This window comes from Homo sapiens, chromosome 15 (genome assembly GCF_000001405.40).
Source record: "Homo sapiens chromosome 15, GRCh38.p14 Primary Assembly".
Lineage (NCBI taxonomy): Eukaryota > Metazoa > Chordata > Mammalia > Primates > Hominidae > Homo > Homo sapiens.
This window is the reverse complement of record NC_000015.10, coordinates 94,440,713-94,455,450: the sequence shown is the minus strand read 5'-3', so window position 1 is coordinate 94,455,450 and position 14,738 is coordinate 94,440,713. Positions and strand designations below refer to the sequence as shown.

At 37.1% G+C, this 14,738-nt stretch overlaps 1 protein-coding gene across 22 annotated transcripts in view; it reads right to left on the bottom strand.

Annotated features, from left to right (window-relative positions):
• MCTP2 (multiple C2 and transmembrane domain containing 2) overlaps positions 1-14,738 on the bottom strand; it is a 252,587-nt gene that overhangs the window by 28,502 nt on the left and 209,347 nt on the right. For 13 of the 22 annotated variants that reach the window (NR_169532.1, NR_169527.1, NR_169526.1 and 10 more), the window contains one exon: positions 12,491-12,532. The exons of 8 other annotated variants lie outside the window; for them this stretch is intronic. Coding sequence is in view for 10 of the 14 variants with exons in the window: in XM_047432839.1 (XP_047288795.1) it covers positions 12,491-12,532 (42 nt within the window). In the remaining 4 variants the exon portion in view is untranslated. Of the gene's footprint in view, positions 1-487; positions 610-12,490; positions 12,533-14,738 lie in introns of all 22 variants that reach the window. One more of the 22 variants, NR_169531.1, reaches the window with a different exon arrangement.

The following is a 14,738-nucleotide window of genomic DNA, read 5'->3' as shown; positions in this document are numbered from 1 at the left end:
AAAAACAACAGAAAGAACACTGTCTATGAGCACTTAGGTACCTTGAAAACTCACAACAAAAATGTGGTACATGGACAATATTCTCAATCTATTTTTAAAATTTTGAAATCTGTATATACTTCATCCCAAATATTTTCAAAGGCACTGTATTTTTATATTCATTCACAGGAACTTTTCCTGTCAAACATTTTAAGACAATATGTTAGAACATTTAACAAAATATATGCTGAAAAGTAAATGCCTTCTAAATTTCTTTCCATTAATGGTCAGAATGTATATTTATTGTATTAAAAATCACAAGGATTCTTCCCATAAATTAAAATAATCTAGGCAGGGAGTGGTGGCTCACGCCTGCAATCCCAGTACTCTGGGAGGCCATGGCGGGCAGATCACTTGAGGTCGGGAGTTTGAGACCAGCCTTGCCAACATGGTAAAACCCCGTCTCTACTAAAAATACAAAACATTAGCCTGTTGTGGTGGCACATGCCTGTAATCCCAGCTACTAGGGAGGCTGAGGCAGGAGAATCGCTTGAACCTGGGAGGCAGAGGTTGCGGTGAGGCAAGATCACGGCACTGTACTCCAGTCTGGGCCACAGAGCGAGACTCCACCTAATAATAATAAAAATAACCTAAAGTATAACTTCAGAATTTAAAAACTGAATCATACATAACATTTGACCTTTTATATGTTGCTTTCGTAGAAAAATAAAGTGTTTTTTGGCCATTAAAAAAAAAATTCACTTCCATTCAGAAAAAGCTTCCAAAAATGAAGTTAGTACTTCAGTCATAAAACATTTTGAATAAAACTTTCCAACTGATTATGACCATAATTTAGGGTTTTTTTTTTTTCCACAAAAGAGTCCAATTTTGGAGAATGTTTAAGTTAACTGAGATATCTTCGAAGGTTCAAACCTTCCTAAAATGATGACGGGTAAAGAAGAGAAAGTGCATACTGCCATGCTGATGTTTATTTTTATATGTGATGGATCTTTATCACACAACCTTGTTGATATCCCAACTGTGTATATAAAAATATTGTAAGTGTGGACACTACAACTTTGCAAGTGGTGGAACATTATTGCTTGTCTGGATGCAATTATGAATAATTAGTGCATCACAGCCAACACCAAGTACATTTCTGCCTCATATTTCTTCATTTTGGAGGAATATCTTATTAGTTGTAATATTTGCTCCATCAAAATTTGCATTCATATTATCATTATAAAGTTAAATGATTCTCAATACTAAATGTTTAAATTTATAGTGGCATTGCTGATGTTAGAAATTACAGTATTTGTAGAGTTAACTTGCAAAAGCTTTGTTTTCATATATTAGGTAAAAAAATGAAAATAATTTCACAAAGTTCTCTGATATTGTGTTTGCATCCTTTGGCAGGAAGATTAACAGCTACTTGGTCATTTTTCATATATGTACGATGAAATCTTGAAGTGGAAAATGATATAAATTAATGTGGAAGAAATAGCCATTTGATCTAAATGAAAAGTCATGCTCCACAGAGAGATATATCAACATGCATTTTTAGCTGTATGCATTAAAATAATGTTTTCAGAAATGATTTTCTTGGATACTTCCTCTTAAAGTAGCTGTTGAGGCTTCTTTGGCAGGTTTATGACTTAGATTTACAAATGTCAGTGACATGATCAAGTCAAGGCCCCAGGGTAGACAAGAAATGTAAACATTTATCAACAACTGTCTTAAGAAATGTACTATCTGTACATGATTATTCATTAAATATGTAATCTTTGTGTTTTTATTTATATACTGAAAAAGTAAAAAAGATAAGTGCACATTTACTCACTACAATGAGTAAAATAGTATATTCTAAGAGTGTTCAGACTACTTTTTATTCTGTTAGCAGGAAGGCTTAAATTATGCAAATATTTAACATACACCTACCCTATCATTTCTCATCTCCCTTACTAACCATTCTGAATAGGCAGTTTGAAAGCTTCCTGAATCTTACAGGCCCTGGCAGTGGCCACAGCTTAATGGGCCGGTAGACATCACATGCTTTCTACCACTGCCTGAAGCAAGAAGGGATTAGCTCATCTGAGAGCAGTTTGTTTTATTATGGACCATGCAGAAGCTTTCCTTTAAAGCTGGATGTTAGTCACTCAGGCCCTGAAGAGAGTCAGGAAAATAGAGATGGGTCATTCCTGGTTGTTAGAGTTAACCTGGTGTTAGTCTTTGAGAACTCTGGTCACAGTGCATGCATCTCATGGGCTACCAGTAATGACCACAGAAACAGCTGAAAGCTTAAATTGAAAGTCTAAGCAACACATCCCACCTTGTTATAGTGGAAATATTAAATACAATAGTTTAAAAATGAGGATAATTAGTAAATGAAAACTTTCTGGGAAAACTGGGACCTGTGGTGAACCTGAATCACTTTTTCCTAAAATTCTTCAGTAAAGAAAAGAATCAGTTATTTCCAGAGTATCTTCTAGACAGGGAGAAAAAAACAAAACAAAACAAACAAAGTTTTTTCACGTGTTTCCACCCCTTCCTTAAAATGCATTTGCTACTCATGTGAGACAGGGAAAATTTCCATCTGAGCTCAGGTATCTTTATGATTAGCAGTAAATGTAGTTTTTGCTCTCTGAAAGGCTTTAAAAATGGCCTTTGGATAATATGTGTTTATCAAAGTATGGTAGCTTCTATGCTACAAGAAGATTATATTTTTGTAGCTTGGATGCTTCATTAATATCTTCCATTACCCTCTTTTTGGCTATACCCTGCTTGAACTGGGGGATCAACAGATAAGACCCGGCTGTTTTATCTGATCCTGTGTTCTCAGCACCAACAACTGTGGTGGGTCCATCCTCAGTGTTGCTACAGTACTTGTTTGATGGAGAAATAAATGGATCCAGGAAAAAAATAGTTTATCAGGTTTATAGTAGTATTAAGTAATTATTTACATCAACCCAAGAAATAAGCAAATGCTTGTGGTTTGAGAGAAGATTCCAGGCCTTATAGAAGAATGACTGGAAGGCCCAACTCAAGCTTGATGGCTTTTGTGAATCCTCTTCCTAAGGATTCCAGTCTATGCTGACTACGGTCTTTGTTCTCTCAATTTGCATTGTACCTCTATCATTTTAATCATCCTAATAGCAAATGCTCTTTTCACTCTCTGTACTGCAAAATTTCTCTTTTAAAACAAGATGCTATTGATTTTATGGGTCTTTTCTCTTTATATCTAGCAATATACCAATGGACATATCACAGGAAGTATTACATAGCCTTTAGTATTAGTATTTCCATGTATAGGAAACTGAAGTCCAGGGAAGTTAAATGATGTTATATACAGCAGACCATGGAGTCAGAGAATGGGGTTCAACTCTGGTCCTGACATCTACTAGCTTGGTGATCATGGCAAGTTCTTTACCCTTTCTGAATTTCAAGTTTAATATTTGGAAAATGTAGATCATTGTCATTACTCTGATTGGAGTGTGGAGAAAATTAAATATTATCACATATGTAAAGTACCTAGCATATTCCAGGTGCTTCATAAACACCAGTTCCTTCCCTTCAAGAAGGCAAAGCTACAAAAGAAGGAACAACCTTTTGTCTAGTTTAAAGAATACTGGGGTTAATTTAAGTTTCAAAGAAAATGATCTTCCAGGACAAGTCTACTCATGTTGCCCTGAGTTGTATGAAAGATCGTCTGCAGTTCCATCTGTATCATGCTGGCTTTATTTACACATTTCAGATTGAACCAGGGAATGTGGTGATAACACAGTTTAGCAAACACAACATTACATCTGCTGTTGCTACCAAACTGCCTAGGAAGAGTAACAGTGATTCATTCAGAAAGACAGAACTGCTGTCACATGTGCTTCTATTTTCCCTTAACATATAAGGCTTCCAATTTACAGAGGGAAATGTGTAATAAAAATAGTGAAGGCCACTGGTGTGATTAAATAAATGAACAAGATTATTGTGGCTAAATACATAGTTTTAGATTCCTATATTTGAAAAAGAGGGATATCACTTCTCGTTACAAATGTGAAAAAATGTGGAGGCATAAATAAAATTCACATGCTTTAGGGGTCTACTTTGTGAGCAAGCCTGCATCACCAAATAATGAAGAGATGAAAGCATGGAATTTTTCAAATTTCATAAGGTTTCCTTGTTTTTTTTAAACACACAATAAAAAAGAAGAGCATTCACTGTGAGAAAAGTAAACTAACTTGGTAACCTAAAAATATATATCATATGAAGATGAGTACAAGCCCACCATTTTTCATTATTCATTTATAAAATGTTAAAAGGATTGAGTATTTTTGCTAACTTTTGTAAGCAGAACTAAGAACAAATAATGTGTCTGTGTTGTAACACAATTGTTCTTTTTTAAAAAAGAAAAAAAATTTTAAAAATCAGGGCAAATCTTTCCTTTCTTAAGGCCTTGTTGGCGTTGGGTATCCAATGAGTATAGCACCATAGGTGCAATAAACTAGCTTCGAGCCTCAGGCAGAGAATTAACACCATCAAAATGAATTTACAACTAAGAATTAATTACACAATCAGGGTGTTACTTTAAATCTCTCCTACATGTTCTGATTTAGAAAACTTCTCATTTCTCTATTAATTCCCTAAGCAAAACAGGAGACAAAGTCCTGAAAATTGACCATGTCAGGAAAAAATCCTTCTGACATGCTTAAAAACTGAGTAGTATTTGTCACAGGATGAACAGAATTCTCAGAAGAGATTAATGCAAAAATTTTTATCTCAAAATCCTCCCAGTAATTTCAATCATCTAGACTAAAGATGCAAAAATATACCTTTAGACTTTAAATAAGAATATGTTTGGTCTGTTTCATCCCACTGAATATTAAAAGCCTATAATTTGAAAACTTGAAGAATTATAAACATTAGAAATAGATTGAGTGGCATTTAGCATGAAAAAAAGCTTAGCATCTGTCATAACAAAGAACAAGCAGCAATATTTCTGATACATGAAATTAAAAATTATTCTTTGGGAATCCCAGCAATGCACCAGGAGCTGTCATTTAGAAATTCTTCCCATGAGGCATTTTGTGGGCATGCAGGGATGCAGACGCACACGTGCGCGTGCACACACACACGCACACACACATGGAGTCAACGCCACAGCTCGTGCTATTAAAATGGAGTGGGGAGATCTGTACTCTTTCTGGAGTGTACTTCTTTCTCAAGTAGTTCTTTTGCTTTGGGAAATGAATATAAAATAGTATTTGGATTTTGAATCAATATCATTTCTAAGTGGTTTTATATTGCTCTATCTGTTCATTACATAAAGCACTTACTGTACTGGTATTTACCAACACTTTTTTTTGTGGCCTGCAACATGAATATCATCTAGTATCAAATAATAGGGTTGAAAAAGTAAAAGGAATACACAGTCAGCTCAATAGGAAGATACTCACAAAATACAACTGAAAAATTGGCAACAGATTAGGGAAAAAAATATTTGGAACCTAGACCCTTGAAAGATTGATTTCATTAAAAGTCTCTCTGCACTAAGTGACAGAACACCAAGCCACCACAAGGTAAACAAGGCTAATGGTTTTCTATAACTGTAACTACTGTAGATAAATATACCAGGGGTGGCAGTTGCTGGTTTAGCTGTGTGAATCCTTTAGTTTTCTCCCAGGTACAATAAAGGAGTGGGTATAAGATAAAATATTTGTGTGATTCAGCAATGGAACAAGTTAAAAAATCATTATTAAGATTCAGCTCAAACATCACCTTTTAGCAGTCCTGCCTCACCTAGCATTTCTCCTCTGTTTCCCAACATAGCATCTACAACAACATTACAAACCTTGATGAAAGCAGAAGTCCTAGGGAACTGGGGTTGTTTACTATGAGCACCTTGTTTATGGTTGTAATTTTTGTATTCATAGAGGCTTTGGTACAAAGACATCAATAAACATTGGCAAAATAATGCAGAAAAATGAACCAATAAATTAATGACAGGTTTCCTTCACAATAACGGAGCATGGTCAAAAATAAGATTTAGACCAGAAGAGATGGGTTTGAGTGTTGCCACTATCCTGGCTGAGAAATCTCATATATGTTACGGAAGTTCTCTTAGCCTTGGTTTGTTCATTTGTAGACAAGGGAACATATTATGAAACTTAATATTTTGTTTTGAGTACTGAATGAGCTCCTGCACATAAAAGCAGCCTGCAAATTAAAATATTAATATTTTCATAAATCTAATTGCTTAAATAATTCTTACTTGAAATGGCCTTGTTTTAATTTATTATTCTTGTTTAATACTTTATTCCAGTGATTACTTTTCCCTTGAAGAAAAAAGTGGTATCCCCCCTTTCTATCAATTATCTCATAAACTCATTGGATAATTGGGTGAGTCACAGTAAAACAGATCAGGGATTTATTTATTTATTTTGAGATGGAGTCTCGCTCTGTCGCCAGGCTGGAATTCAGTGGCACGATCTCGGCTCACCGCAACCTCTGCCTCCCAGTTCAAGCAATTCTCCTGCCTCAGCCTCCCGAGTAGCTGGGACTACAGGTGTGCGCCACCATGCCCAGATAATTTTTGTATTTTTAGTAGAGATGGGGTTTCACCATGTTGGCCAGGATGGTCTCAATCAGATTTATTTTTAAATACAAAAGACATAGCTACTATTTTCAGAAAACCAATCACTTGTGGATAATCAGGATGCAATGTCCAATGTCTTCTACCTTCTCATGATGTGACAATTCTAAGCAATGGGAAATGAAATATCTAGATGCAATACAGGTTGAGTATCCTTTATCCAAAATGCTTGGGACCAGAAGTGTTCTGGATTTCAGATTGTTTTGGGATTTGGGAATACGTGCATCATGCTGGCTGATCATTCCTAATTTAAAAATCAGAAACCCAAAATGCTCCAATGATCATTTCCTTTGATAATTAGCACTCAAAAAGTTTCAAATTCTGGGGCATTTTGGATTTCAAGTATTTAGATTAGGGATACTCAATCTATATAGACTACGAAAAAATCAGCGCCTCTGACGAAATTTGGTCAGGCAATGCACATTCGCTAAGAGAAGGACAGGTAATTCATCTAATTGAGTCTGGCATATCACATTTCATAATATTTGAGAATAATATACTACAATCCTTAGAATAGAAATCAGAAAGATCTACTTGTACTAGGAATATTAGTGAGCTTGATAATAAGCAGGATGCTCTGAATAAGGTTCCAGAAGGCCAGACTGATACTATTTCTGGATGACTTCTAAAGGTTATCAAGTCAAAACATTGTTAAGAATGAGAGTTTGATTTTTAAAAAGAATATTTAAGCAAGTTGATTTGCCAGCGGACTACAGGAAATTGGGAAGGCAACCCCCTCTCATCCAAAACATGCATAAACTGATAATTAAGAATTGGCTGGAATCCACTTCACTATAAAAGGCTTGAAAGATGGTATGATAAAAATGTTAGCAATTAAGTCACTTCATCACTAAAAACCATATTAAATCAAATTAAAAGGACTTAAATTAGAATTCCCATGCACTTTATTCCCCTGAAAGTTAGCCATAAGCAGGTCTTTTACAATATGCCCTGTGTATAAATTGTATATCCCTGAAGGTGAGTGTGTGCACATGCAACTATTGTTAACCATTCAAAGATACTCTCTGGCTTTTTATTTTCTTAAAAATACAACACTTTATCATTGTTAAATATCACTGCTTATGTCATAGTTTAAAAAATTACTAATCTAACCAATTTACTGTTTTAGACATTCTTAAGAAAGCGCAAACAGGCCGGTCATGGTGGCTCATGCCTGTAATCCCAGAACTTTGGGAGGCCATGGTGGGCAGATCACATGAGGCCAGGAGTTTCAGACCAGCCTGGCCGACGTGGTAAAACCCTATCTCTAATGCAGTGTGGTGGCACATGGCTGTAGTCTCAACTACTCCAGAGGCGGAGGCACGAGAATCACTTGAACTTGGGAGGCAGAGATTGCACTGAGCCGAAATGGCACCACTGCACTCCTGCCCGGGCAACAGAGTGAAACTCTGTCTCAAAAAACAAACAAACAAACACAACACACACACACACACAAATGAATTATAGACAAAACTACTCTCATTGTTAGATTGTTAAGAAGACCTCCTCTATGAACATCAGTTTTCTCTGGTTAGGATATTATAGATCATCTCCTCTCTCTTTCTGGCACAAGGAAACACAGGGAATGAGGCACAGTGGACTTAACCACATCATCCAAAGCACTCTACAGGTTAATTCACAGTGAGAACTCCTAGATACATGCCATGTGCTTCTCCCACTAAGAAGGCCCTGTCTGGGTAATGAGGAAGGGACTGACTAATCAATTTAGAGGATGGAAAATCATTTTAAACACTGAAATTAATGGTTTAAACTGTACTTAAATTTTAATGATGACAAACTAATTTGTGAAAATAGAATATAGATACAATACCCATTTGTATCCTTCCATTATAATATGCTCCTCAATCAATCAACAAAAATGGATTAGATGTTTCTTATTTTCTTAAAGGAAAATGTCCATATCTGTTTTTCATCTACAACTGATATAAAAGGGTCATATTGTTTTTCATAAACACTGTCAGGCAATTGTGACCTCATTGAAGATGCTAAAAGGACAGATCATTCAAGTCCTGTTTCTGACAACCTAGTTATGAACAAACCAACCCACAATGCAAGCCTTGGAGCACAGTTTCTTTTTGATAGCATTAAGCAGGGCTTTTTTTCTTTTATTACATGCCCTTATGATTCCTTCTTCCTGATGTTAATAGAAAATGCTGAAATATTCTATGTAAGTGATTGTTGGGCTGGAAAAAGAAAGAAACTCTAGTGCAAGTATTTATACCTTCTGTAATGAAAACAAGATATTATTGTCTTGCTTGACCTTTCCTAAGTATGGGATACAGCATTTTACACAATAGTTTCTTGGTTCATGCTTCAATTACTGACCTTTACTGTGTAGAAAATTAATGCAATTTTCATTGTAATCCATCCGTACAAATAAGGTCCACATGGAAGGATTCCACATATGGAATCTAATACAAATAGGAAATGTCAACTGATTGCTGTTGGCTGAACTTAGCTATTATCTGTTTGTTCTGGAGTCTCTAGAAAACTAGACTTGTAACAAGCAATTTCTTACATGAGCCGTCAGGTATTAGAAAGGAGGATTTCCTCTCTTCAAAGTTTAGCTTGTACATTTCATCTCCTACAAGGCAAAAACCTAGTTACCTGAAAGTTCTATGTTATCCCTGAAAGTCTGCAAAAGAAAAGGCAAAATTGTGAAGTCTAATCTGGTTTCTAATACAAGTTACTACCATGAACTTTTCACAATGCTAAGGAACAAGGGGTTACAGTGATGTCATTTTACAACAATCCCTGTTCCAGACAATAAAAGAATGACAGACCCCAGTGTCCTGGTCTGTGCATCAGAGACAGGCAGAACATGGCAAAGCATTCATCTCCTGAGGAAGTTGTGCCAACAGGCCCCGGCACGCTTTTATCTTCCACAGTCGTCCGTGATGGTATGTGGTGGGAAGGAGCACTGGCAATTAAAGAGTGTCACCTTCAAGATGGATGGTTTGGGTAGAAAGAAGTTTCTCTCCTCTTCTGGTTTTGAACAAAATGGCTGTGTGTTTATAATTTGTAAACAGTTCATCTCTCACTGAGTGTGTTACAGTTCCCAGAAGCATGGTCTGTCATGTCTAACACACAACAGAAGCCAGAAGGGCTCAGTGAGTAGACCTTTCTTCCAGCTCACTATGACGGGGAGCCACCCAGTGACTGCATGTCCTGGTCTATGACAAGCATACCTCGGTGGGAGAAGCTGATCTGCACAGAGAAGAAACCAAGTGTCGTAATACATATGTGTATGTGCACTCAAAAAGTCTGAAAGTTGAAGATCCCTTTAGTTTACAAATCCCTTACAGAAGGAAGAATGAAAAGAGATGGACAAGGATGGAAAAATTCACCAGCCTTTCCTAACAATAGAAGGGTTGTGTTAAGCAGAAGAGGCATAAACAGAAGTCAAAATATCATTTTAGATTTATTCCTCTAGAAGATTTCATAGAAATATAAAATTGGGAAAGCAAAACCACCATGGTTATATTTGTCTATTACAAAGTGCTATTCAAATACTATAATAAAAACATGTTAAGAATAAACTTTCTCTGGAGGGAAGGAGGAGAACCCTAATGCCAGCACCCTCAACTTGGGACAGGTTGGCACAACTGGTATGGGTTTGGGCCATGCTGAGATGAATGCAACAGCTCCCAGGCTTATCCCTATGGATGCTGCTGTTCCAACTCTTTCTTCAGTCATCCTTGCCCAGAAAGGTTTAAAGCACAGACCAAAGGGCTGTCTCTCCAGACCTTCAGGTAGCTCTTGAAGTACATCAGTGGTAGACTAGACCTTGACAACCACTGGTCTAGACTATGACCTGATTTTGTTGCTTGCCAGTCACTGAATACCATGTTTCCATTCATCATCTTGTTGGATACTCTCCTTTACTAGATGGGCCAAAGATACATGGTCACCGTTATTCCTAAAGCGGGGAGGACATCCTCTTCTACTGGTGGTTCATTTAAACAGGCTTGGCCAAACAGGAAGAAATCTTCCTTTCATCCAGGCCTTGGTTTATAAATATTTAGAATTTTGCCTAATGTGATGTTATGATATAATAAGAAATGTATGCTTGTTCTTTGTCCCTGGTTCCTGGCACAAAGCTCCTAAAATTCCTGGAGTTTCCTAAGTGATAAGAGAGATACGAACATCTTTTGCTATAATATTTGGTTTGGTCCTCAGTTCCTAAAATAGCTCCAGAGCAAGAGAGATGAGAAGAGCATCTTTTGGCTATTCATAACAAGCCCCTTTCAACCACACCTGACTTTCTGCTAATGAGGAGACTTTTGGAAAGCCTCTGATGATGGGGGAGCTGGTGGCCAGGAGAATCACCCATGATTAGAAGGTTAGAACTTTCAGTACTCCCAGCCCTGACCTGCAGGGAAGGAAGAGGGGGCCAGAGATTGACTTAAACACCAATGCCCAAACATTCAGTCAATTATGCCTATGTAATGAAACCTTCATAGAAACAAAAATACCGTTTCTGGAAGCTTCTGGGTTGGTGAACACATGGAGGTGCTCTAGGGTATGCCCAGAGAGGGCGTGGAAGTTCCACACCCATTCCCCCATCCGTTGCCCTGTGCATTTCTTCCATTTGGCTGTTCCTGAATTGTGTCCTTTATAATAATCAGTAAATATAAGAAAATATTTCCCTAAATTTTGTGAGCCGTTCTAGAAATTTGTTGAATCCAAGAAAGGGGTTGTGGGAACCCCCACCTGATAGCTGGCCAGTCTGAAGAACAGGAGGCCTAGACTTGCAGTTATCACCTCATACAGGTTTAAAATAATTTCACTAATACTTCTGTTTTTTTTTTTTTTTTTTTTTTTTTGGTAAAATATCCCATTATAAACCTTATTAACTTAGCTTCCCTTTGACAATATTCAATGACTTAATCACTCAGAAACCGCTAGCTAACATCAAGACATCAATAAGAAACTTGCATCTGTGTGAACCCTTTTCTGAAAAAGGTCATTTTCCTCTAAAAGTATTATACTTGATTTTATTATTTTGCTATTAATGATCCTCTTAACACAACAAATAAGATTTACTTTGTAATCCACCCCATTTGCTTCAAATGGGCAAAACCATCTGGTCCACTCAATTAATTCTAAGGCTCTTTGTATCACAGAGCCAGTGTCTTTGAATACATTTCTATTCAATGGGCATTTACACTGGATACTTACTCTCAAGGTTCCCCCTTTTACCCTTTCCTCTGCACAAGCTTCCTACATGTTACCATCCCTCGCCCCAGATACCCACAGGTGAAGGGGACTGGAAGCCCATTAAGCTAGTAGCATCTCATTTGGCATTTCACTTGTTTCATTTTATTCCAGAAGGTTTGTCTGAAAGCGTAATGACAACAAAAGCAGCAGATTTGAGAGATTCTCCCAGGAGAAGGAAAAGGACAGATGTACACAGACATATAGCTGAAAACGCTGCCAGGAACAGCTGGGAAAATGACAGGCGCGGAAGTGGGTGACCACCCCACAGAGTGCAGACATGAGCCTAAAGCAGCAGCAATTTCACTTGATTTACTTTTGACTTCCCAGGCTACCTTTTATCTATAAAGGGGAAGGCTAATCTTGGCTTGTATCCAATGAAAGGCCTCCTATAGTTATGCTTTTTATAACATTTCAATTATTCCTTCTATTTTACCCTTCTCAACCTCATTTTTAAAAATCTTAAAAAGGGATATCCTTTTTAAAAGTTACAATAATATTACTATACTGGTAACTCTATCATATTAAAAAAAAAAAAAAAAAGAGAGGAGAGAGACTCAACCTGAAGGAATGCTATCTGTTGACAACACTAGTGTTTTTTTGTGTGTGTTCTTTCTTGAACATACGCACCTTGTCATCTTCATCCTCCTCGTCATCTATGTCTGTGCTCTCCTGAAAGGAAATCCCACGTGTTTATAGAAACATCAACCGAAATTAACAAATGCAAATTAAACTCAGACACATTTTAAAGCTTGCCTACAGACTTCAAGCATTTATATTTTTGAAATGCATTACAACCTCTTAAACAATAACTCTTTTAAAGTTCAGGGACACTGTGGCAGGACTCTAAACAATATGCATAATCTACATAAAACCATTGACTATAAATAAAGCTATTAGGCCAGTGCCCTTTGAAGGCATCCAGCTTTAAAAATGCATTGCTGAGTTGTACTTTCTGTAAACAGTGTTGTTCTTATTCTGACAAATGAACCAACTGCTACGTTAAGGCTGAGAATACCATACTCCACTAGTGCTGGGCTCATTGTTATAATGACTGCTCTCTCCCTTTGGGGCCATTACTGAAACATCAGACAGTATAAAATGCATTAGTCTGAATATAATCAATCTTAAGAATAAGTTACAGGTTTCTCTGTGGCATTATTATTTTGCCCTGGGTTTAGGGTTAGAAGGGGCAGGTGAGGGAAGGAAACTCAAGGCTCAGATCTGGACTTAAGGGTGCCTGGCTTTAGCTCAGGTGCCACAGCACCAGCTGTACTGCTAACGGCCTTGTTTAGATGAATATAAAAATCTTGGCTATTTAATGGCCAGAGTTTGATCATAGCACTGCAATGTTTAAAAACTAATATCTGTTGGTACATAATCAAATAGGGTCAGTAGTTTGGAAAGAAAGCTCAGTGTTAGACAACACGGTCTATTTTCAGCTTGAACACTTGCATTTCTGCTTAACCTTGCAAAGGTCAGGCACGCTGTTCAGATGTCACTGTTCCACTAGTAAAAAGAATTGTCAATATCATGCTCTTAAAAGGGAGTAACTCTAAAGTATCCAGAGAATACTCTGCTACATTCCATAAAACCACTGAGCAGTCATCAAGAAATTTCTTCAGGGCCGGTATAGCCCTACCTCCTAGAATTCTCACAAGATTCAGCTAGCAGTTTGTGTGGTACTCATGGGTCCTCTGGGGAACTAACCTATTCACAACTGGCAGCAAACATGTCTCATGAAAGCCAATGGATAAACAGGAAGGTAATGAAAACAGGCTATGGGAGGAAAAAACGCTATAATTGGGAGAAGTCTTTAGCTTGGGACATGGTTCCAGTAGTTTTTGCTTTGTGACTTTAGGCAAATCACTTCGTCACTATGCACTGTAGTTTCATAAGACATAAAATGAAAATAGTTCTTGCCTCCCTCATAGTTGTGTTATCGAACTAAATTAGGTAATTATTTTCAATGTTTTATAAATAAAGGCTTTATACATACATACACACTTATGTGCATATAGGTATATTAATATGCACATGTATGCCAGTATATGTACATGCTCTCACATGCACACATATGCACATACTATAAACATATATACACAGTGGGCAACATAAAACCTGCGTAAACATTGTAAAAATGTTAGTTGACAACATAGATATCAGAGATGTTTCTTTGTAAAAATTTCCATTATCTATAACTCTGTGAAACCTAGTCCTTAAATGGATCTATTAAAGCCATTCATTTATTAGCTGGTTCTATTTTCTCACTGATATGTGTTCATGCCTATTGCATTAAATAATTAAAATCAAACAGAATAGAATTTTGAAATTGCCTGAGGTTTTTCCTCTTGCCACAATACTCATTTTTCCCACCTTCCTTCCTAAGTGAAACCAGAAACCTCCCTTAAATCCATTATGAGGACATAAGGAAAAATAAAAACAGTCAGGGTTTGATTGACTCTTGGGAAACCAAATGTGAAGGTGATCCATCTAGAAAGAAAATTAATCAAGTCTTAGGACTTTAGATTTTTGTTTTAAAAACTTGGTTCTTGAAGCTGGAATGCCTAGATTACATCATAAAAAAAAAGCCTACAAATACAAGTTCCTGGCCACCTAGAGCAGAGCAGAAAAAGATCTTATGGGGTGCAATGAGGGGGCCAGGAGCAGGAGAGTCAGAGTGGAAGTGAGATGAGTAGATGCGGAGAGATGTCTTTGAGAAAGGGTCTTGCTTTCTTCAACAGGACAGGAAGTTTGGGAATTTCCAGACAAATGTGGGCACCTGCAAATAGATGGATCTAAGCCCACCCACTCTCTGATTGCCCTGGGAGTTGACAAGCCTCTGGGAATCTCCTGAGCCTTCAAGCCAGAGAGAACA